This window comes from Homo sapiens, chromosome 4 (genome assembly GCF_000001405.40).
Source record: "Homo sapiens chromosome 4, GRCh38.p14 Primary Assembly".
In the NCBI taxonomy this organism is placed as follows: Eukaryota; Metazoa; Chordata; class Mammalia; order Primates; family Hominidae; genus Homo; species Homo sapiens.
Genome location: NC_000004.12, coordinates 151,791,694 through 151,814,858, shown reverse-complemented (window position 1 = coordinate 151,814,858; position 23,165 = coordinate 151,791,694). Strand labels below are relative to the sequence as shown.

The following is a 23,165-nucleotide window of genomic DNA, read 5'->3' as shown; positions in this document are numbered from 1 at the left end:
TTTGAATCTTCTCAACAAGACACACTTCTGCTCCTTCTGCATTTATTCTCCAAAGGATATTGGGTATCCCCCTCCAAAGCTCAAATTTCTTCTCCATCCGTTACCTACCTCGGCATAATTCTCATAAAAACACACGTGCTCTCCCTGCTGATCATGTCCAATTAATCTCCTAAACCTCAATCCCTTATAAAACAACAACTCCTTTCCTTCCTAGGCATAGTTAGTATGGTCAGAATTCTTACACAAGAGCCAGGACCGCACCTGTAGCCTTTCTGTCCAAATAACTTGACCTTACTGTTTTAGTCTAGCCCTCATGTCTGTGTGCAGTGGCTGCTCCTGCCCTAATACTTTTAGAGGCCCTAAAAATCACAAACTATGCTCAACTCACTCTCTACATTTCTCATAACTTCCAAAATCAATTTTCTTCCTCATACCTGACACATATACTTTCTGCTCCCCGGCTCCTTCAGCTGTACTCACTCTTTGTTAAGTCCCACAATTACCATTGTTCCTGGCCCAGACTTCAATCCGGCCTCCCACATTATTCCTGATACCACACCTGACCCTCATGACTGTATCTCTCTGATCTACCTGACATTCACCCCATTTCCCCATATTTCCTTCTTTCCTGTTCTTCACCCTGATCATGCTTGATTTATTGATGGCGGTTCCACCAGGCCTAATCGCCACACACCAGCAAAGGCAGGCTATGCTATAGTGCAAGCCACTAGCCCGCCTCTTAGAACCTCTCATTTCCTTTCCATCGTAGAAATCTATCCTCAAGGAAATAACTTATCAGTGTTCCATCTGCTATTCTACTACACCTTAGGGATTATTCAGGCCCCCTCCCTTCCCTACACATCAAGCTCAGGGATTTGCCCCCGCCCAGGACTGGCAAATTAGCTTTACTCCTCAACATGTCCTGAATCAGGAAACTAAAATACCTCTTAGTCTAGGTAGACACTTTCACTGAATAGGTAGAGGCTTTCCTACAGGGTCTGAGATAGCCACCGTAGTCATTTCTTCCCTTCTGTTGGAAATAATTCCTCAGTTTGGCCTTCCCACCTCTATAGTCTGATAACAGACCAGCCTTTATTAGTCAAATCAGCCAAGCAGTTTTTCGGGCTCTTAGTATTCAGTGAAACCTTTATATCCCTTACGGTCCTCTGTCTTCAAGAAAAGTAGAACGGACTAAAGGTCTTTTAAAAACACACCTCACCAAGCTCAGCCACCAACTTAAAAAGGACTGGACAATACTTTTACCACTTCCCCTTCTCAGAATTCAGGCCTGTCCTCAAAATGCTACAAAGTACAGCCCATTTAAGCTCCCGTATAGACGCTCCTTTTTATTAGGCCCCAGTCTCATTCCAGACACCAGACCAACTTGGATTGTGCCCCAAAAAACTTGTCATCCCTACTGTCTTCTGTCTAGTCATACTCCTATTCACCGTTCTCAACTACTCATACATGCCCTGCTCTTGTTTACACTGCCAGTTTACACTGTTTCTCCAAGCCATCACAGCTGATATCTCCTGGTGCTATCCCCAAACCACCACTCTTAACTCTTAAAGTAAATAAATAATCCTTACTGGCAAGGCTATGCTGAACCTCCTTAGGTACTCTCTAATTAGATGTCCTAGGTCCTTCCAATTCTTAGTCCTTTAATACCTGTTTTTCTCCTTCTCTTATTCCGTTTAGTTTTTCAATTCATACAAAACTGTATCCAGGCCATCACCAATCATTCTAAATGACAAATGTTTCTTCTAACAACCCCACAATATCACCCCTTACCACAGAATCTTCCTTCAGCTTAATCTCTCCCACTCTAGGTTCCCATGCCGCCCCTAATCCCGCTCAAAGCAGCCCTGAGAAACATCGCCCATTATCTCTCCATACCATCCCCCAAAATTTTCGCCATCCCAACACTTTACCACTATTTCGTTTTATTTTTCTTATTAATATAAGAAGACAGTGTTCAAACTCTCTCCGCCCTATTACCATCCTGTACAAAGAGCTGCCCCAGGCCACCTCATAAGGCTGGGATATGCACACTAGGTGAAGTTCAGGACAACAAATTCTGGATGCTCAAAGCCCAAGAATCTGGAGCTTGGTCTATAAGGAGAGAAACTGGACTCCAGCTGGGCGATTATCTTTGGTGGGACAGTTTTCTCTAAATAAGAGGACCCTATGGATTGTACTGCTTCTTATAACAAAACTGCTGCAAGCAAGACAGGAGGCCAAAAAGACTACATAAAACTCTAGCACCTGTGCAGTGGCTCATGCCTATAATCCCAGCACTTTGGGAGGTCGAGTGCAACATTTAAGTGTTGCAGTAGTCTAAAGGGACAGTCTAAAGGTGGAGCCAACATGGCAAAACCCCATCTCTACTAAAAATACAAAAATTAGCCTGGCATGCTGCCTGTAATCCCAGCTACTCGGGAGACTGAGGCAGGAGAATCACTTGAACCTGAGAGGAAGAGGTTGCAGTGAGCCAAGATCGCGCCACTGCACTCCAGCCTACGCAACAGCATAACACTCCATCTAAAAAAAAAGGAAGAAGAAGAAGAAGGAAAAAAGAGCTACGTTTATTCAAGAGGCCCCATGAAAAAAGAACTCTGTAGACAATCAACTTGGATGCTATATTATAGATCAGCACTGGACAACAAAAATACAATATGCACCACAAATGCAAGCCATGCTATAATTTTAAATTTGCTAGTGGCCACATGAAAAAGAAGTAAAGAAAAATAAGTAAAATTAACTTTAATAATACATTTTATTTCACCCAGTATATCTAAAATATTCATTCAACATGTAATCAAATAAAAAATGTATTGAGCTCTTTAAAAAAAAACAACCTCTAACACCTGTGCTTTTGCAAAAAAAAAAAAAAGAAAGAAAAAAGGAAGGAAGGAAGAGAGGGAGAGAGGGAGGGAGGGAGGGAGGTAGGGAGATGTTTCTCTAACTTTCCTAACAATTTCCTAACAAAGTCCCTTAATAACAAAAAAGGGTTGAAAAGATAGTAATAGAGGCTTGGGCATGAGTCCAAAGCTAAAAATTCAAAATGTCTTTAAGTCTTATATTATCTTGAAACTTCATGTGATTTTCCCCCATTCTTTTAATAATGTCCTTTCATATTTTAAAACATTTGAAATTAACACTTATGTTAATTAAACTTTTTGCCACTAAAAAAAGTGGTGATCCAGGAAGTCACATCCTGTTTACCCTTTCTTTTCAAGTGCTGCCAGCACCCTACTGAGTAGCCCAGCTTACAAATCACAATGTGACCAGCTTTATAGTCCAAAGTGAAAGTCAAGAGAACCTCAAATCTGCCTCTGATTTCCAGGGTCAGTCTCACCTATAAAAGTGAGACACAGGTAATAATGAAGCACAGGCTATAGGTTCTTTGATGGGAGAAAAAAATTAGCTTGTGTCTGCCATAATTTTATTGAAGCCCCTTGTGCTTATCTCCTTGATGGGAAAGTCATCTTCACACAATAAAATAAGACAATGAATTTTAAAGTGCCTGGAAGAGTCCTGGCTTATAGTAGGCCCTCAATAAATAGATGGAATTCTGATTTGAATCTGAAGTCTAGATAAAAACCTTTACCAATTAGTATGTTTCTGGTGGTTTAGAATGGGATTGGATAAATTATAATTCATGGGCCAAATCCAAACCAAAGCCTGGGGAGAAAAAAGAGAGAGAGCAAGTGAGGGAGAATGCAACAGAAACTGTATGTGGCCCACAAAACCTAGAATATTTGCTGTCTGAGCCTTTACAAAGTTTGCCAACCCTTGGTTTTGGAGCAACCATGAGGGCAAATAATGCCTTACAGATCCAGTCCCAGAAAGAAATCAGGTAGCAAACTGAGACAGTATCAGTGAGCTATTTTCACAGCAGTGCTGCATAATAAACCATCCCAATTCTCCACATCTTAAAATAACAATGTTCATACATCTGTGGGTCAGCTGGGCTCAGCTGAAGCGGCTCTGCTGATCTTGGCTGACTTGCTCCTGCATCTGTGGGTTGGAAGAGGGAGTTAACATAGGCTGTACTAGGCTGGGGAATTTGGCTCTACACTGCAAGTTTGTGGGTCTGGATCCTCTTTACTGTCTCATCCTCTTTGGACCAGTGGGCTAGACAAGACATGCTCTTCTTGTGGCAGTGACAGAGGCCAAAAAAGAGTGGAAATACGTGACAGCTGTTAGGGACCTAGACTTGGAACTAACAGATTGTCACGTACTTCCCCTGGATGCCATTGGTCAAAGCAAGCCACATATGGGAGCCCAAAGTGGAGCAGTGGGGAAGTATTCTCCTCCAGTAGAGGAGCTGCCTGGTCGTATGGCAAAGATGTGAATAAGGGAGGGTGGAGAACCTGGGTCAATAATGTAAATTTAAACTCAATTCAATACTTACTGAGCACCACACAAGCCAAGCATTCTTCTAGGTCCTGGGGATTTGTCAGCAAGCAAGACTGTTTATCGTCCTTACCATTAGGAGCTTAATTCTAATGGGATGTGGAGGGGATTTAATATTCCATGCTACCCCTTCTTGTTCATTTGGCTCTGGTTCACTGGGGGGGTCGTTGTTGGCATATCTGTTGCTGGCCAGCAGGAATCATCTGGCCTTGACCAGCTTTCTGTCCCCCAGTATTCAGCACTGGGCTTTGGGCAAGGTAAGTGCTCAATAATAAATGAATGAGTGAGTGAATGAAGCATTTTTTTAAATCTGTCTTTCTTAGGAATCACTGAATCCCTGTCAACTCATCTACTGGTGGAAAGGAGGAAAACAACAGAAATTCAGATCTCCAGATTAGCAGACAATGCAAGGCTGGGACACAGAGCAAATGACAAGTGACAGTGAAACTGGATTTAAGAGAATTTGAATCATTTGGGCGAGAAAGCCCGCAGATGGCGCATGCTGTTCGGTGTGGAAAAATGGGTCATTGCTCCCAGAGCAATTACCATAGCCTAAAAGACCTGTGAGAAGAGCAGAGCATTTGTGCTGCAGGCTGATCAGGGAAGAATTAGGGGAGATATGTAGGGACTCCAATGCTGTTACGACAGCACCCACGTGGCTCATGCCCACACAGGATGATAAACCAAGCTCAAGAGAGAGTGCCATACCCAGTGAGGTCTGTGGCCATGGCCTTCCCTGGATAAAATGAGGGCAGCCCCACAGCACAGCAGAGAACATTTGTCAAGGCTGGCCCGTGAGCACAGTGCTGCTGCCATCATGGTGCCGGAAAGCTAGAGTCTGTGGAAAACCCAGTGTGCTGAGGTGGCCCTGGGGTGGCCACAATTGCTCTGTACAGGAAGCTGGACGTCTTCATTCTGGCCCCCGCTCTGCTCCCTGAAAAAGGCTTCCTGACCTTAGTTTCTCTATCTGTGAAATAGGTACTGAGATACTTGCTCTGTTTAGGTTACAGGATTTTAGTGAGGATTGAGAGAACCAGCAAGTGCAAAAGCAAACCAGAAACTGTCAGCCTTCAACCAAAATAAGGATTACTCAGGGAAGATGAGTAGGATTTGGTCTCATCTCAAGCAAGACAATGATGCTCTGGGTTTGGGGAAGGGATGGAATGTGTGAGGATAAAGAAATCTTCAGGATCATGAAAGAGATTGTTTTCAAAGTTAAAAGTAAGACATCCTTCATATTAGGAAAAAAATAACTGTAAGAAATTGTTGTTTGAAGCTTGAAGAGTGAAAGTTTCAGAGGCCCAACTCCTCTCAGGAGGATAAGTATGGAAAATAAGTTACTCTTGAGGGTAATTAATTGAAACAGAGGGCGAATGAGTCCAAAATGCACTTACATCCCTTTCAAATTGAAGGGAACAGAGAGCTTAAGAAAAGAGGGGAGGGGCAAGGAGGTAAAGATCAATGTTGAAAAGGCAAACATGCTCTTTTCTTTAAATGAGTGTGACCTCAGACATGGGGTTAGCACAGACAGGTATGTCCCAGCCCCATAATTCCCTTTCTAACCTACTAGCTGTGTTTGCGCAGGCGCCTGCCATTGGGAAGCGCTCTGCGAGCTTTCCTGGGATTGTGCCTCATGAGCCATCACCTGTCACTATGTGTATTTCAAGCCTACTTCTTCCTCTCCCTGACCTGTGAGATGCTAAGAGGAGGAGGGATGGGGTGTCATGCAATATGGAAACCACTTTAAACATCCACTGGGCTGATGGCAATAACAAAATTTATGTAATCCATGAAAGCACAGAATTGGGTAATAAAACTGGATAAATCATTTCTCTTTGTAAAGCAAATTCTCACCAACTGCCACCCAGATCATAACATATGAGGAGCACTGCTCTTCACCTGGGTGCACCTGCCCCCACCAAAAATGAAGTGCCTTGATGCCTCTGAGGATTATGCAGATGTGGGCATTATTTATACATCTGTGTGATGCATCAAGTATCAGAAGGTGTCTCCGGGCATGAGTCACAAGGCCTCTAAAAGCAATGACTCTTTTATAGGGTTTTAGATTACGGTGATTTTCCGTAAATCCTGCCAGAGTCACACAACAGGCCAAGAGCAATTAACATTAATTAAATGATCCCCACAAAGAGGTTGCCTCGCTGACACACTGATAACCTCTAAATGCACTTAGCCTGCTACATTCTTGAAGGTGTTCCTTCAGCTGCTCCGGGGGCACTGGGCAGGCTCCCGCTGCCCTGGGCGGCTGCACACACACGTGGAACACCACTGTTCCTGCTGCGATGTGTGCATAAGAACTACCTGGAGATCATGCTAAAATGAGATTCTGATTCAGGAGGTCACAGATGGCACCTGGGATTCTGCATTTCTAACAAGCTCCTTGATGATGTTGACGCTGCTCATCCCCAGACCACACTTTGAGAAACAACACTGTACAAAGCCCCGGACACAGACCCGGGGAGTGGGGGGAGGGGGTGGCCTGGGTTGGGTACAGGAGAGCAACTCTAAACATCCAGTGCATTGCTAATGTGCTGGCCTCTCCAGCCTGCTTTTCCTATCCCCGGGAACCACCAGTGAAGAGAACTAAGCAAGCAGGACATTGTGCAGATGCTAGGGTTAACATCAAAGCTGACCAAAACCAGCTTCTGAGAAAAAAAAAAAAAAAGGAGTCCAGGAATAGCTCCACCCTCATCCCCTCTGCATTTTGCACCTGTCTTTTAGAGAAATCACCTGGGATTTTCTAAAGAAAGCCACACCCCACCATTATGAAGCACTTGGAGTTGGAGCTTTTTCCAAGATGGAAGGGTGGGGACCAGAAGACAACCTCTTTAGTGGCGCCAAGAACTCCTGTCCCTAGGCAGAGAGACACTTCTCTGTCTTTACACCACAGGGCACGATGATGAAACTGGATTTAAAGGCTGGCACACCGCCAGTAATGAGGGCCAGGGTAGGGAGCTGGGGACTATAAAGGCCAAGAAATCAGGGTGTAGAGAGAGGAGGCAGGAAGAATGTGAGTAGTGGGTGCGTCAGGAATGGGCAAAGGTCAAACATTTGAAAAATAGCCCGAGAAGCTTTGGCAGGGACTTCCTGACTGTGGAGTGGTGACAGCCGTGAGGAGGTGACCCAAGTGTGGCAGCCAGCAGAAGGAAAGAGCACTCGGTCAGGGCCAGGATGGGAAATTTAGAGAAAATAGTACAGAGAGAAGTTAGGAAGCTACCAGGGCCCATCTCGGGGAGCAGATGTGAGTTTGTGGCAGCCCTATAAAATTGTAGGCCAATCAGTTGTAAAATTATATCACAATTTTATAAAGATGCGGCTGCAGAAAGCATCAGTAACAACTGGGAGTGGAAGGTTTCCATTTTAATTCAGTAATGACATGGATGAAGTTAGAAATGTCTCATGAGTCCACAGAAAGGGGTTTGGATACTTCTCTTAAAGTAACCTTGTAGCATTTCCTGATCAAAAATAAATTCAAGCATGAAAATATTGGGGAAGGAAAAGGGGAAAGTTCACTTTGGTTGATGAGATCTTAGAAAAAGAAGTCACAGGAGAAGCGGAGGAGAAGGCCCAGGCATTTTACACAGAGAATTCTTGGGATTCCTCAGAGACTGGAGTCATCTGACCAAGAAATGTGCCCTTGGGTCTGTAGCCTTTTTCTTCTCTCTGACACCCTTCCTCCGTGGATTTTCAGTGCAACACGAGCCAAGCTGGCTATTAATAGAGCAAGAACAATTTTACCACGGGATGTGGTGTTTAATTTAAAGAGACGTCAAAGAGTGAGGGGCAGATGGCTGGGCAGGCAGTGCTTCCCAATGACCTTGGTGAGCCCCTGACTCATCCCAGATCTTACAGATCCAGAAATGTGCTCTGACGAATGAGCCCTGAGTTGATCAAGCTTTAGTGAAAAAAATGAGAAATGGATAAGCCAGGGGTCTGCGTATTAATTTCTAGTAGATCTATGGGTAGCTTGAGAAATGAGAACAGTTATCAGTTCGGGTGATCATTTCTGGAAAGGTGTTCAACTCAAGGGACTCAATTATATATCTCAAGATCACCAGCATGTGGAAAATCCCAAACCTTAAAGCTCAAACAGAAAAATAAGCAAGTAATTCTCAAAACACTCCTTCCTCACACCATAGTGAAAGAATGACCAATTCTTGTTTATCCCACTCTACCTTCCCATAAATTTAGTGCACCCCCCTCTCCTGCAAGCACAGCTTCACTCTTACTGGTTATTTGATTGGTTTCCTAGGGCTGCCTTAACAAGGTACTACAATTCAGCGGCTTAAAACCAGAAGTGTAGGGCCGGGCGCGGTGGCTCACGCCTGTAATCCCGGCACTTTGGGAGGCCGAGGCGGGCGGATCACGAGGTCAGGAGATGGAGACCATCCTGGCTAACACGGCAAAACCCCATCTCTACCAAAAATACAAAAAATTAGCCGGGCATGGTGGCGGGCGCCTGTAGTCCCAGCTACTCGGCAGGCTGAGGCAGGAGAATGGCGTGAACCCGGGAGGCGGAGCTGGCAGTGAGCCGAAATCGCGCCACTGCACTCCAGCCTGGGCAACAGAGTGAGACTCCGTCTCAGAAAAAAAAAAAAACACCAGAAGTGTATTCTTTTCTCACAGTCTGGAGGCCAGAAGTCCTAGGTCAAGGTGCCAGCAGGGCTGTGCTCCCTTTGAAACCCATAGGGTTTCACCCTTGCCTCTTCCTAGCTTCTACTGGCTTGCTGTCAACCTTTGGCTTTCCTTGGCTTATAGCTACCAACTCCAATCTCTGCCTTCATTGTCACATGGCATTCTCCCTGTGCGTCTCAGTGTCTCTTCTCCTCTTATAAGGACACTAGAAGTCTATCCTACTCCAGTATTTCATCTTTTATCTACATCCATTATCCTCATCTTAACTAATTACATCTGCAACAACCTTATTTCCAAACAAGGTCACATTCTGAGGCATAGGGGATTAAGACTTCAATTTTTGGGGGGGACATAATTCAACCCATAACATAACCATAACCATAATCATAACCGTTATGCCACAGTGTGGTTCAATTTCCAGGCCGGTGTTGAGATAACCATGGCTAAGTCCAGACCCTGCCTTTAAGGATTCCACACTCTATTGAAAGATATATATATATACACACACATATAATATATATATAGTAGCATATATATACACACATACATATATACATATAATTATATTACACATAACATAATATATGTAATGTAATTACATATGTAATGTAATCATATATATGAAAATTTAGTTGGCAATTTTCCCCTGGCTTCAGGAAAAATCCCCAGACCAATGAAACCACAAAAGCCCTGGGCTGGATCCCAGCAGAATCAGTGTATATTTTAAGTTTCCCTGGTGTAATGATTAATTGTATATCAACTTGACTGGGCCACAGGGTACTCAGATACTTGGTCACACATTATTATGAGTGTGTCTGTGTGAGTGTTTTGGGGTGAGATTAACACTCAAATCGATACACTGAGTGAAGCAGATTGCTCTCTCCAATGTGAGTGGATTTCTTCCAGTTAGTGAAAAGCCTGAATAGAACAAAAAGCCTGATCCTCCCCTGAATAAAGGGAATTCCTCCTGGCTGACTATCGTCAAGCTGAGATGCTGGGTTTTGTTGTTGTTGTTGTTTTCTTTTCCTGCCTTTGGACTTGAACTGAAACATTGGCTCTGTTTAGGTCTTGATCCTTCTGGCCTTTGGAATGGAACTACAACATCAGCTCTCTTGTGTCTCCAGCTTGCCTACCGCAAATTTTGGGACTTTTCAGCCTCCATAATTGCATGAGTCAATTCCTTATTATAAATATCTATCCTGTGTATTCTTTCATACATACATTCTGTTGATTCTGTTTCTCTGGAGAACTCTAACTAATACACCAGGTGATTCTAATATGCAACCAATGTTAAGAACCACTGACCCATAAATCACAGATAAGAGAATGATTAATTCTGTCTGCGGAGGTGACTTCATGAAAGCCATCACATTTGAGGTGAGCGAGAAACAAAAATGAGTATCATCTGCCTTGCCGCACAGAAAGAGGCAGAGGAAAGAGTATTAGCAAAGAGAAACAAAGAAGAGAGGGTGGGGCCAGAGGAAGGAATAATTGGAGATGAAATGGATGGGTTGGGCCTGATTCTGCCTTGCTGCAAATGTCGTGGTTAAATAATACAGGGAGCTACTGAAAACTTACCCAAGTGAGCAATGTGCCATTACTGTACTTTAGAAAAAAAAATCTGAAAGCTGTGTAGATGAGGGGAGAAAAGATTGAAAGTGAGAGGGAAATTTAGGACATCAGTGTAAAAGTCTGTTATGGAATGAATGTTTGTATCTTCCCCAAACTCATATGTTGAAGCCCCAACCCCCAATGTGATGGGACTAGGAGGCAGGACTTTGGAAAATAACTAGGTTTAGCAGGGGTCAAGAGGGTAAATGGGGCCCTCATGATGGGATTAATGCCCCTATAAGAAGAGGAAGAGGTACCAGAACATCCTGTCTCCTCCATGTGAGGACACAGCAAGAAAGCAACAGTCTGCAAGCCAGGAAGAAGGCCCTCACCAAGAACCAAGTCTTTCTGCATCTTTATCTTGGACCTCCCAGTCTCCAGAACTGTAGAAATAAATGTCTATTATTTAAACCTCCCATTCTATGGTATTTTGTTATAGTGACCTGAGCTAAGCAAAGCCCAAGCAAGAGATGGTGTGGTCCTGGACTAGCTAAAAGGTTTTTCTGTATGTTTTAGAACTAGATTCAGCAGGATTTTGGTGACTAGGCTTGGGAAATGAGGAGGAGAGGTCAAATATATCCTCAAAGTTGTTAACATGGGTGGCTGGGAAGATGGTTGTGTTAAGATTGGGAATACAGGAGGAGAAGCAGATTTTGTGGAGAACATAATGAGTTCAGTTTTGGACACTTAACTTTGAGGTGCCGCCAAGTATTTGCTTAGACGTGTTCAGTCAGCTGATAAAAATAGATGAGTAAAAGCTCCCCAAGGCCTCCCGAGAAGCTGAGCAGATGCTGGCACATTCTTCCTGTACAGCCTGCAAAACTATGAGCAATTAAACCTCTTTTCTTATTAAATTACCCAGTCTCAGGTATTTCTTTATAGCAACACAAGAACGGCCTAACACAAGTGTACTTACACAAAGCTAGATGGTATAGCCCACTACACTGGGCTATATGAAATAGCCCATTGCTCCTAGGCTTCAAACCTATACAGCATGATACTGTACTGAATACTGTAGGCAGTGGCAACACCATGCTAAGTATTGGGTGTCTACATATACCTAAACATGGAAAAGCTACAGTAAGGGTACACTATAAAAAATTTAAAATGGTGCACCTGTATAGGGCATTTATACCATGAATGGAGCTTGCAGGACTGGAAGTTGCTCTGTGAGTCAGTGAGTGAGTGGTGAGTGAATGTGAAGGCCTGGGACATTACTGCACACTACTGTAATCTTTATAAACTCTGTAGACGTAAGCTACATTACATTTATCTAGAAAATAATAAATTAACTTACAGCCTTCAATAATAAATTAACCTCAGCTTACTGTAACTATTTTACTTTATACATTTTAAAATTGTTAAAAGCTTTTTGTCTCTTTTGTAATAACACTTAAAACACAAACACATTGTACCAATGTCTGAGAAATATATTTTCTTTATATACTATTTTAAAAGCATTTTTCTATTTTTAAAATTATGTATTTTCTTTACATTTTAAACTTTTTTGTTAAAAACTAAGATACAAACACAGACTAGCTTAGGCCTACACAGAGTAAGGACAATGAATCTCACTGTCTTCCACCTCCACATCTTGTCCCACTGGCAGGTCTTCAGGGGCAGCATGGAACTGTCATCACCCATGCTAACAATGCCTTCTTCTAGAATAGCTCCTGAAGTAACTGCCTGAGGCTATTTTGTAGCTAACTTTTTTCTAAGTAGGAGGAGTATACCCTAAAATAACGATTAAAAGTATAGTGTAGTAAATATATAAACCAGTAACATAGTTTATTATTATGATCAAGTTTTACATACTGTACATAATTGCATATGCTAGACTTTCATGTGGCTGGCAGCACAGCAGGTTTGTTTACACTAGCATCACCACAAACACGTGAGTAATGCATTGTGCTACGACTTTCCCACGGCTACAACCTCTGTAGGTGGTGGGAATGTTTTAGCTTCATTATAATCTTATGGGACCACCATTCTATATGTGGTCTGTTGTTGACAGAAAGGTTGTTATGTAGTATATGACTGTATATTCGTCCCACGGAGGTCAAAGGGGAGGGACTTAAAACGTTTGCCGAAAATAATTTAATCTAAAATTTAAAAAATAATTGATTTTGTCAAGTGTTTCAAAGATGTCCAGTAATTAGACGGAGGGGAGGGGAGGGGAGGGGGAAACGGGGATAGCCTTGACTATCCCCGTAAGTGATGAATAATCTAAAACATTATATTTTATTTTAAAACAATTATGAATATATCATAGAGCAGAAGGAAAGGTTAACATAAATTTTAAAGATTAAGAGGAGAATTCAAGAAAAAGTATTTTCAGGTACATTTAGAGCTAGAGCCCAGCAGCACGCAACCTTCTCTTCTGCCACTAGGGGCACTGTGCTGGGAAAGTCTGAGGCAGCGCCATCTTCCTGAGAAGATGCTCAGAAACCTCAACTGAAGAAACTACTCCGTGAGCCTAAATACCAACCCAGGAATTTAGAACAATCTTGGTCATCCAGCGACTTTTTTTTCTTTTTAGAAAAGGGAAATTATTGAGGGAAATTTAGGATTTTGCAGGAGTCATGAATCTTACTGGTTCCCAGGATTTCTTTTATTTCTTTAGAGGGAAATTATTCGGTTGTACAAAACACCTTTTAACAATAAGCCTATAAAGGAAAAGAAACATCCTCCCATTTGGCTGAGAATTCAGATAAGTGGCACTCTGTTCCTCTTGTCAAGTCATTCCAGTGATTGTTTGATCAGTAGTGACTTAGCATACTTTGTCTAAAAATATAGCATATCCTCATTCTCTGGGATATGCTATGTATTTGAAATTTTTGAAAATTGGCCACTACCATTTCAAGACCTTTTTCTCTACAAAATATATATGGTTCCTTAACTTGTCACTTCTTTAAGCGAAAACCCAGAGCATCCACACGGCCCCTGTGGACAGTAGTCATCAGGACCTCCGTTTCCTCAATGAGTTGGGCTAGATGATCTCTACAGTTCTGTCTCCAAGGGTCTCAGAGTCTCTAAAAGAATTGCTAGAATCAATGCTCTGCCTCACTTGCTATGACAGTTCATTACATTGATGGCCCCCAGTGAAACACCCCTCCTGGTGTACACACCTCCTGGAAGTCAGGACCTCATGTACTCCACTCTGGGTTGGGTATGTGACTTGCTTTAACCAAGAGAGTGCAGTGGAAGTGATGCTGCACCTGTTTCAGGACTCAGTCTTAATAAGACCTGGCAACTCCTACTTCCGCGTTCTTAGGAGCCCTGAGGTGCTATAGAAGATGTCCAGCCTCTCTGCTGGAGAGATCATTTGGAGAAGTCCAGGCCCCTGAGTTCTCAAGACGAGAGAGAGAGAGAAAGAGAGAGAGAGAGTGAGGTCCAGCCATGCCAGCATTCCCGCTGAGCCTAGGCCACAGCTGTACAGCTAGCTAAATGCCGTCATATGAGTGACCATTGGCAAGGCCAGCAAAAGAACCACCAAGTTGAGCTCAGCTCTAATTGCAGAATCATGAGCAAATAAACTGGTTATTGTTTTAGGTCACTAAGTTTTGGGATGGTTTGTTACACAGAAAATAGATAGCCAAAAAAGAAATACAAGTATGATTCTATAAAACAGAGGTTGCAAGGATTGTATTATATGTCAAAGGTCTGACCCTTTTCCTTGTGGGGATGATAAAAGGTGGTATAGCTAATTTACTCCCAACCTATAACTGTATTAATCATCTTTAATACAGTTTAATATCTATAGTTGGTAAATAGAGAGGCCCCTTAGACTTGAAATCTCTATTCCAAAAGAGAACTCGGTTTCTCAAAAGGGCTCACTAGCCTGGTGGTGGAGTAACTATTGTTATTCAGTCATACAGAATTATGACACATGACTGCCTATATTGCTTAAATAACAGTTGTATGTGCACTCCTCCAAGTATATTCAGATTATGTGTACTGTAGCTGTGTACAGTAAGTTCAGAGGGGAGGCCAGTAAGCAATGCATCCCATTTCCACAAAGGAAGGGTGTCTGGAAGAGGTGGCATTTTAACTGATTCTAAAGAACTGAAGAGATTCACAGAGTCCCAGAATGCAAATAGAAAGCTGTATCACTCCCCCTATATCTATAGGCAAAGGAATATGCTACTTACCTGGTATGACCTAAAGTGTCTCCCAAACAGACTCATTCTCCCAAATATCACTGCCGACACACACCAGCCTTCTGTGCCCTAAATTCTAAGTAGTAACACCTTGGCCTTCAAGCTGAAAGTTGCCTGTTAAGATGCAAATAGATGAGTCAGAAGGGCACACCTTACACCATTAGCTGCATTAACAACTTAACTCAAATGGGCTTATCAAACAGCTGGAGTCCCCTACAGAGGCCCCAAGAAAATGAGATCAGAGTATGTGGTATTACTACTCAGTGTCCAAAGTCAAGGTAGAGTGGCAAAGAAGTTTCCTGGATGACCGTGGAGAGGACAGCTCTGGTGCAAAAGATACAACATAGAGTGTTTTAGAGGACCCTGAAGAGAGTTTTCAGTGTGGTTCGGGCAATTACCTGGACTTGTTGGACTGAAACTTTGATCCCATTCCCTGCTGATAACCACACTAGTTTGTAGCTTCCATTTTCTGCCAACAACAGAACTTCCAGCAAACAAATTATTCTAGGTGGACACACCTTTTTCTTCTTCCTCCCACAGGTATATACAGGTAAGTATCTGAGACAGGCCCTGCAAAGATCAGGTCACATCTGTTAACAAGGCACTGGTTATATCAATGGCAACTCTGAGACGATTTCTCTGTGCTGAAGTAAGGCACTAAATATAATAGCCTCTTAACTGGCACATTGTTATCAGTATTATTATGGCTTTCTCTTCATGCCTGTCACTGGATTATGGTAATTTTTTTTAGTCATAGGTTTTGATCGGAGTTGAAGTCTCTGAGTTACTGACAGCTCGGGAGAGCTGTAAATGCTCTAAGATTGACTTCCCACTGTCACAAAATCATAACACAAGCAAAAAGTAGAGGTTCTCTCAAGCCTCCTCATGCCAATTAGAAACAAAGCAACTTTCTAAACAGCAGGCTTCTTTTCCAGCAGGCTTCATACCAAAGGAGAGGGAGGCAGAAGGCACCTACCTCTCTCCTCATCCTTCCTCCGAGGTTCAGTGCAAGAAACAATGACCCTGGCAAAGACGATAAGAGAAGCAGATACTGCAATTTAGCTAATGGTGTCTACAGGAAGCTAGAAATCATTCCTTTGACATGCTGTGATACTGAAACAGCATCAGGTCTTGGTGAGTTCTCCTGACCTTGCAGCAGCTGCTCACAGACATTGACTATGGTCACTTATTTGAATAACCACAATAGAGCTGGGAAAATGAGTCATGTTATCTATCCCCTTTGGAGGTTATGAAACCTCCAAAGTGGTACCTCTGGCCTTGTCTTCTTGTCACCATGGAAGTTCCTTCCTGACCAAATGCGACCCCCAGCTGGGAGGCATCTAGGATTAGGCCAAGTGTTAGAGATTACTAAATCTCTTTTCTGTCACTATGGAGAAGTTGTATGAGACCACAGTACCAATCTTAGATAAACTCCAGCTATTTTTTCATTTTGCCTTCAGGGTCCTTCTACTTCTTCCATTTGCAACCCTTTCCCCCTTTCTAGTACCATCATCCTTAGGCCTCCCATGACCAGAATAGACCATTCTGGCATCTAACTTAAGTTAGTCCTTTACATCCATCCAAATCCTTATTTGCCTGAGGTCCTGTTCTCAATTTAACAGGATTGAAAACTCAAGTAATTATCACAGAATGAGATGACCTGAATATATCAGCCAGGATAGGCTAGGTTATGCTGCAGTGATAAACAACCCTAAAATATCAGTGGCAAAAATGAGGGTTTCTCATTCATATTGCATATCCACCACAGGTTGTCAAAAGAATCTGCTCCCCAGAGTAACTCAGTAACCCAGGCCACCATCAGTGATCCAGATCACCATCTTAGAAGTCACCACCAACATCCCCAAGAGAGGAAAGGAACTAGATTCTTATTCTGGCAATTAAATGCACTGGCTGAGAAATTGTATTACTTCCACTCACAAGTCATTGGCCAGAATTCATCACATGACTTCATCCAACCAAAAAGGGGCCAAGAAGTACAATCCTCTTTTGTGCATCAGAAGGCACACAGCCAGAAATATTTGATAGGTTGCATAAATGATGAACATGACAATTATTTTGCACTAAGGAAAAAATGAAGATTTGCAGGGTAAAGAGTTACCCCTCCTAGTGCTGTTTGCTATTACAGTAAAGCTTACTGTGTTCAGTTCTCTTGTACTAGGCAGGATTGACCAGACAATGGAAAAAAAGAAAAACCTCTCCCCAGTTCAGACCCTATGCTTGCTTTATTTGCTCACAGTTCTCAAAGTGGTTTGCCAGAGTGAATCCAAAATTATATAAATATGTGCTGAAGATGAAAATAATAAGGATGAGAATATGTGCTAATCAACTTAAATTTGGTGGGGAGGAGGGAGGTACAGTGGAAGGAGAGTGAATTGGAAGCCTAGACAGAAAACTGAAAGGGATTTTGTACTTATCTGAGATGATAAAAACAAAGATGGATAAGGATAATTTTTGCTACTAGCTGCTAGCTTTCTGGAAGCATGAAAAAAAAAAAAAACCAGGATGAAGATTGCATCAGTCTAAACACGAAGCAGTTCAGGCTTGGGCAGAGTTTGAAGGAAAGAGACATCTAAGATGATGGTGGAGGAATAATGAATGCAAAGAGGTGATGGTGTATGGAAGAATGGAAATGTTTGTTGTTCTTGTATCCAGGAGAACTGCTGAGCTTTAGTGGGAACGCCCTGCAGTGGCAGCACAAAGTTCAGTTTCAGAAAACAGAATTGGCAGCAGAATCATGTTCTCGTGCCCTGGCAAATGCTATATATGTGCCCAGGGCAAAAACAAGCAAAGGAAGATGCAAACCCCAAATATGACCAATATTTGAGCACCTATCATCAAGGCCAAAGCAGGTGGGAGGAGAAATCTCAAAGATCTTTGTGTACCTTGTAGCAATTCCAGGGAAATGAGACTGTGAAGTGATCCCACATCCAATATGTCAGCAAATTCTGTTGGCTTTACCTTCAGCATATAACCAAAAGTAGAATCCACCTTAACGCCTCCACCTGCCACCTTCTTCCAAGCCACTCTAATCTATTGCCTAGATTTGTACAGTAGCATAACTACTCTCCTATTTAAACCCTTGCCTCCCCATTATGCGTTTTCTATGAAGCAGCCAAATGATCCTCTCGAAATGTAATTTCTCGGCTTGAAACTCTCTGATGGCTTCCCATTCTTGTCAGAGGATCCCAAAGCCTTCCCTTGACCTAGAAAGCCAATCTAAGATCCAGTCCCCCAAATATTCTGGGACCTCATGCCCCATCACTCCCTTTCCGCCCACTTGACTTTGGCCACATTAGCCTTGCTGCCCCCTCCGCCAAGCCTTCTGTCTCAGGGTTTTTGCATAGGCTGCCCTCTGTGCCTGGGGGCTCTTCCCCCAGAGACCTGCATCAGGACTGTTCCCATGCTTCCTTGGGGTCTCTGCCCAAATACCGTTTGATCAGTGAAATCTTTCTTAACCATTCTATTTAAAAGAACACACTCCCACCCCCGCCCTGAAGGCCCTCCTAAACTATCTTTCCTTAGCTGGTTTTGTGTGAAATGGGTTGTCACATGTACTGATTTAGTTGTAGTTATAAGTACTCCAAAAGGGCAGGAAGGATTTCGCTTCATTTGTTCACTGCTGTAACCCCAGCATCTAGAACAGGACCTGCCAACGGTGTGAGCTCAATCACTACAAGTTGATTGAACAGATTGAAATTCATCCCAACCCTCCCACTACAGGGATCTAGTGTCAAAGAGATATTCAAGGAACAAGACATCTCTCTCTCTCTTTTATAATACCCTATGAGGATTCCTCCTACCTGATATCAGCTGCCATGGATACAGGTTTCTTAAAGGGGCCAAGGATGCAACAGATGCTTCATATTAGCTTTTATGTCCTCGATAAAATTAACAACAAGCAAACCTTGAGTAACAAAGCTGTAATTCTGTCTTGCAATTCTGATTCGATATAGATTGTAAGAGCTTGGCTCTTGAGGCTAAAAGCTGTTTACAGAACCCTCAATGGAATTATACCTCTGTAATTCATTTACTGTTATTCATTTTATGTGTGTTTACAGATAGAGCCAGAACAATCATACAGCCAGCAAAACCAAAGCAAAGAAGAAAAGATACCTAGTGGTTTTCATTTTTAAATTACAATCATTATGTAAGTTACAATATTTTGCCACACTACAGCACTTCTAGGCTAAATAAGAAATACACTTAACAGCAAGGTAAACATAATAAGATAGCTTTTTAAAAAATGAATATTACCTTGCTCTGTCTTCAGGGATGTTATTTTCAATAGCAATATCGATTCACAAAGAAAAGTCAAGAGAATAATTATGGATGTTTAGCCAATAGGGCTGGTACATGTACACAAGATCAGAAAAAGTACTGGATAATACCCTTGAAAAGCCTCTAAAGCTACTGTCCCACCACAGCCATTTTCAACTACATGACCAAAAACAATCCAATAAGCTTTCATCGTTTATGTCCAAATTTCTAATGAAAGAAGCCTCTTGAAAAATAAACAAGTATACAGATGGGCTTGGATAGATCTGGCATCAAATCTACATTTTATGTTTCTTTATTTTATTTCACTTTAAAATAATTTAGGATATTCAAAAGTGGTCTGTTAGAAAGAATTATTGGAGGGACAATAACATTTTTCTAGCACCAGACACAAACTAGATAATGATAAGACGTATACACTTTCCTCACCCAATGAGCTAAAACTCCATTTAAGAAGGAACATCAAGGACTTAGAAGGTTCTCTTGTGTAGATCTCTTTCTTCTTGAGACAGGGTCTCTCCTGTCACCCAGATTGGAGTGTATTGGTGCGATCATAGCTCACTATTACAGGTTTAAACTCCTGGGCTCAAGTGATCCTCCTACCTCAGCCTCCTAAGTAGTTAGGTTTACAGGTGCATGCCACCATGCCTGGCTAATTTTTTTTTTTTTTTAAATTTTTGTAGAGACAGTCTTGCTCTATTGCCCAGGCTAGTCTCAAACTCCTGGCCTCAAGCAATCTTCCCCTCAGCCTCCCAAATCACTGAGATTACAGGCATGAGCCACCGTGGGTCACCTTGTGTGGATTTCTGTTTACAGGACACTTGGCTGCCACTTATAGCCTATTTCATATATAGACTGCTGAACAGCTTCCAGACAGTGTGTGTAAAATTTTACAAATGTTTTTCTTGTTTCAATCAGGCATGACCTTTAAATATATAAAACTGTACATAAGAAAAGTGCCCACAAGACTTCTGGAAGAAACGAGCAAATTCAATTCACAAATATTTTTGAGCACCTACTAAATGTGAAGCAGCTTTCTAGGTACTGAGGATACAATTGTGAAAAACATAGACTTAAAACTCTTCAAGAAGCTTCTATTCTAGTGTATTGGGGGACATGGAGAGGAAGCAAAATAAGTAAATGATGTATTTTTCAAGTGAGAACTGCTAGGTGCTCCAGAGAAAAATCAAGTGGAGAAGAGCCGGAGAAGGTGAAGCAGGGGTGCAATTCTAAAGAGAATTAGGGGAGACCTTGCTAGAAATGAGACATTTAAGCAAAGACTTGATGGGTGCCAATATCTAGATGAGAAACTGCAAATGCAAAGATCCTGAGGTGGAAATGAGCCTGGATGTGACTGAGTGGAGAGCAGTGGATGAGGTCAGAGAGGTTGGGGGGCCATATCCTACAATGACGCAGGGTACAGGTGACTTGACATGACCAATGTTTTCAAAGCATTACTGGCTGCTTTGTCTGGAATAGTTGGAGTGGGCTAGGCGGCAAAAGTGAAAGCAGGGAGACCAGTTAGAAGGCTTTAGAGTGAATGCAGGTGGGAAAGTTTGGCTGCTACCCATGGATCAAGGTGGTAGCCAGTGAGTGGTTGATATGATATAGTCAGATTCTGGATATCTTTTGCAAGTATACAAAATAGGACGGGGACCACAGGATTAGGACACTTCCAAAGATTCATATGGCCAGTTTAGGTAGCTATGATCCTCTCCCCACTAGGGCCAGAACAGTGTTATTTACAACATCACTCACACACCAAAACTTAACGGGCATCAATGAAAATCCTTTTTTTAAGAGACAGAGTCTAGCTCTGTTGCCCAGGCTGGAATGCAGTGGCATGATGCTAGCTCACTGGGCTCAAGCAATCCTTTCACCTCAGCCTCCTAAATGGCTGGGACAATATGCACCTGCCACCACACCCAGCTATTTTTTTTTTTTTTTTTTTTTTGTAGATACAGGGGCCTTGCTTTGTTGCCCAGGCTGGTCTTGAACTCCTAGCCTCAAGCGATGCTCCCACCTCAGCCTCCCAAAGGGCTGGGATTATAGGCATGAGCCACCATGCCTGGTCTATCAGTGAAAATCTTAAAAGATAGCTCAGAAATATGGGTACTTTGAGAAGATTAAGAACCCATGTTAGAATGAAAGGGTTCCTGAGTCAACAGAAGGTGTAATGTGTCTGCTGCTCAATGTGTACACATTGTTAGGGGAAAGCGTGTCACCCTGTCTCTCCTCTTATCACCCTTCCTCTCTCTGACCCACCATCATTCTGGGAGCTGTGAGCAGTAGAACCATAGAGCACTATCACTGTGCTCAACAATTCCCAGTTTACTTGGAAAGGCCTGTGAAACTCCCTCCTCCTTCCTTCTTCGATCCACTTCCTCTGTTTTTCTTTTCCTCCTCTGCCTGTGTCAGATTTCCCTGGGAAGCTCAAGGCACCAAGATGCTGTCTCAGGCTCTTGGCGAGACTGACCTCCACGGAGACTGTGCTTGGGGTTTTTCCTGTGCTCTTGTCTGCAATCTGACATCATTTTCAGTAGTTTCCCTCTCAGGAGGGGCATGGCCCTGCCTTGCACTTTCCTGTATTTCTTCTCTTGGCCCCTGGTTAAGGTAAAGCCCCAAACCAAACAGGACCTGGCCTTAAAAACTCCAGGATCAACTCAAGACTATTGACAGTGTGGCCTTCTGCGGGGCCTTTAACTTAGATGCTCAGCATGCCATGGGCCTGCTCCTACCGGGGAGGAGGGAGAAGTCAGGCATGCCCCTTTCCAGCAGCCGGGTTCCATCTTCCAGGTTGCTTGGACCTTTTAGTGAACAAACCCTCCTGGTGCCAGAGACCTGCAAAAAGTCATCATTACTTTGGCTCCTGATGGCTTTAAAAATACAGCTAAGATTTTATACTGCAGATCGTGTGGGCCATGGAAACCTGAATTTTACTATTTAGTTTGTAAACCATGCCTTTTAAGCATATGCTGCGGCAGATGGTAGGTGATATTGTGGTGTGTTTAGTTAGATGGGATCCTTGCTAAAGCTCACCTGTCCCATCTGCATTCTCAAAGGCCAGGATATTCTGTTACCTGAACTAAGAAATCCATCAGAACCAAGAAGACGTTTAAAACGGTAAATAATAATAATGGATCTGTGCTGGGTGTGTGCTAATAAAAATGCAGAGTTTCTTCACCCTGAGTGGAAAAAAACCAAGGTAAACCCAGTATCAGCGATTCTTCCGGAAAGGCTGTCACTGTGATCTGTGAGGCACTTTCAAGATGAAATTGGAACCAAGTGTACTTTATTCAGGACATCTTTGAGATAAAAAATATAATGCTCCTTTTCTATCTTTGTGACATTGTTCGCAAAGATGTGATTTGGTTGTTAAAGCCACTTGCACTGTATCTCAAGGCTAAGGCTGACAATTCAAATAAAAGCCTCTCTCTCTCTCTGGTTTGTTATCTGAGCTGCAGCTAGCTGTCATGGCCATCTACACAGTGGGGCACCTGGGAAGGGGTGAGGCATGTGCCTGGCCTGCCATCACATCCCACCTGACTCCATGCTTCTGAGCTCCATTTAACTTTCCGGAGTTCTGGGAAATTTTTGTTTTGTTTTGTTGGATGACCTCAAAACCAGATGCAGTGTTAAAAGGCAAATGATGGTGTTTAATTTTTTAATAATTTTATTGTACATGCCTTGTAGAAAATTTAGAATACATATTGGTACAAAAAAGAAAATAGGATCCCATCATTTTAGATTAGCACTGTGAATATTTTAACGTATTTTCTTCTGATCTTTTCTTGATTCAATATGTGTGTGTTTTGTTGGTTTGTTTCTGTTCATAAAAGGGGTGGGGGTCTTTGAATGAACAATTTTGTGAATTCCTCATTAACAATTTATGACAAACATTTTCCAACAGCATTTAATTCTCAACAGATGTGGGCACACTACTTTTTCCCATCATCATTAATCTGCAGAGAACACCATTCCAGATGAGTATCTCTGAATTATCATAAATCACTTTAGAATCTTCAT

General features: G+C 42.5%; 2 long non-coding RNA genes across 6 annotated transcripts in view, besides 1 other annotated feature; both read right to left on the bottom strand.

The window, feature by feature from the left end:
• Nucleotides 1-15,500, bottom strand: part of LOC127898557 (uncharacterized) — a 140,693-nt gene extending 125,193 nt beyond the window's left edge. The window contains exons 1-2 of the long non-coding RNA NR_183042.1: nucleotides 15,242-15,500; nucleotides 14,835-14,957 (exon numbers count right to left, since the gene is read on the bottom strand). This is a non-coding gene — a long non-coding RNA (uncharacterized LOC127898557). The remainder of the gene's footprint in view (nucleotides 1-14,834; nucleotides 14,958-15,241) is intronic.
• The window catches only part of LOC105377488 (uncharacterized), a 33,739-nt gene extending 18,239 nt beyond the window's left edge, over nucleotides 1-15,500 (bottom strand). For 4 of the 5 annotated variants that reach the window (NR_183034.1, NR_183038.1, NR_183037.1 and 1 more), the window contains exons 1-2: nucleotides 15,242-15,500; nucleotides 14,835-14,957 (exon numbers count right to left, since the gene is read on the bottom strand). This is a non-coding gene — a long non-coding RNA (uncharacterized LOC105377488). The remainder of the gene's footprint in view (nucleotides 1-14,834; nucleotides 14,958-15,241) is intronic. The other variant, NR_183036.1, reaches the window with a different exon arrangement.
• Nucleotides 3,049-3,550: an enhancer, noted in NCBI's record as "NANOG hESC enhancer chr4:152732461-152732962 (GRCh37/hg19 assembly coordinates)". NCBI's record gives its function as "activates a minimal SCP1, AML or CMV promoter by ChIP-STARR-seq in naive H9 embryonic stem cells {active_cell/tissue: H9 hESC(naive)}" and the evidence as "EXISTENCE:reporter gene assay evidence [ECO:0000049][PMID:30033119]".
• Nucleotides 15,501-23,165: the final 7,665 nt, after the last annotated feature.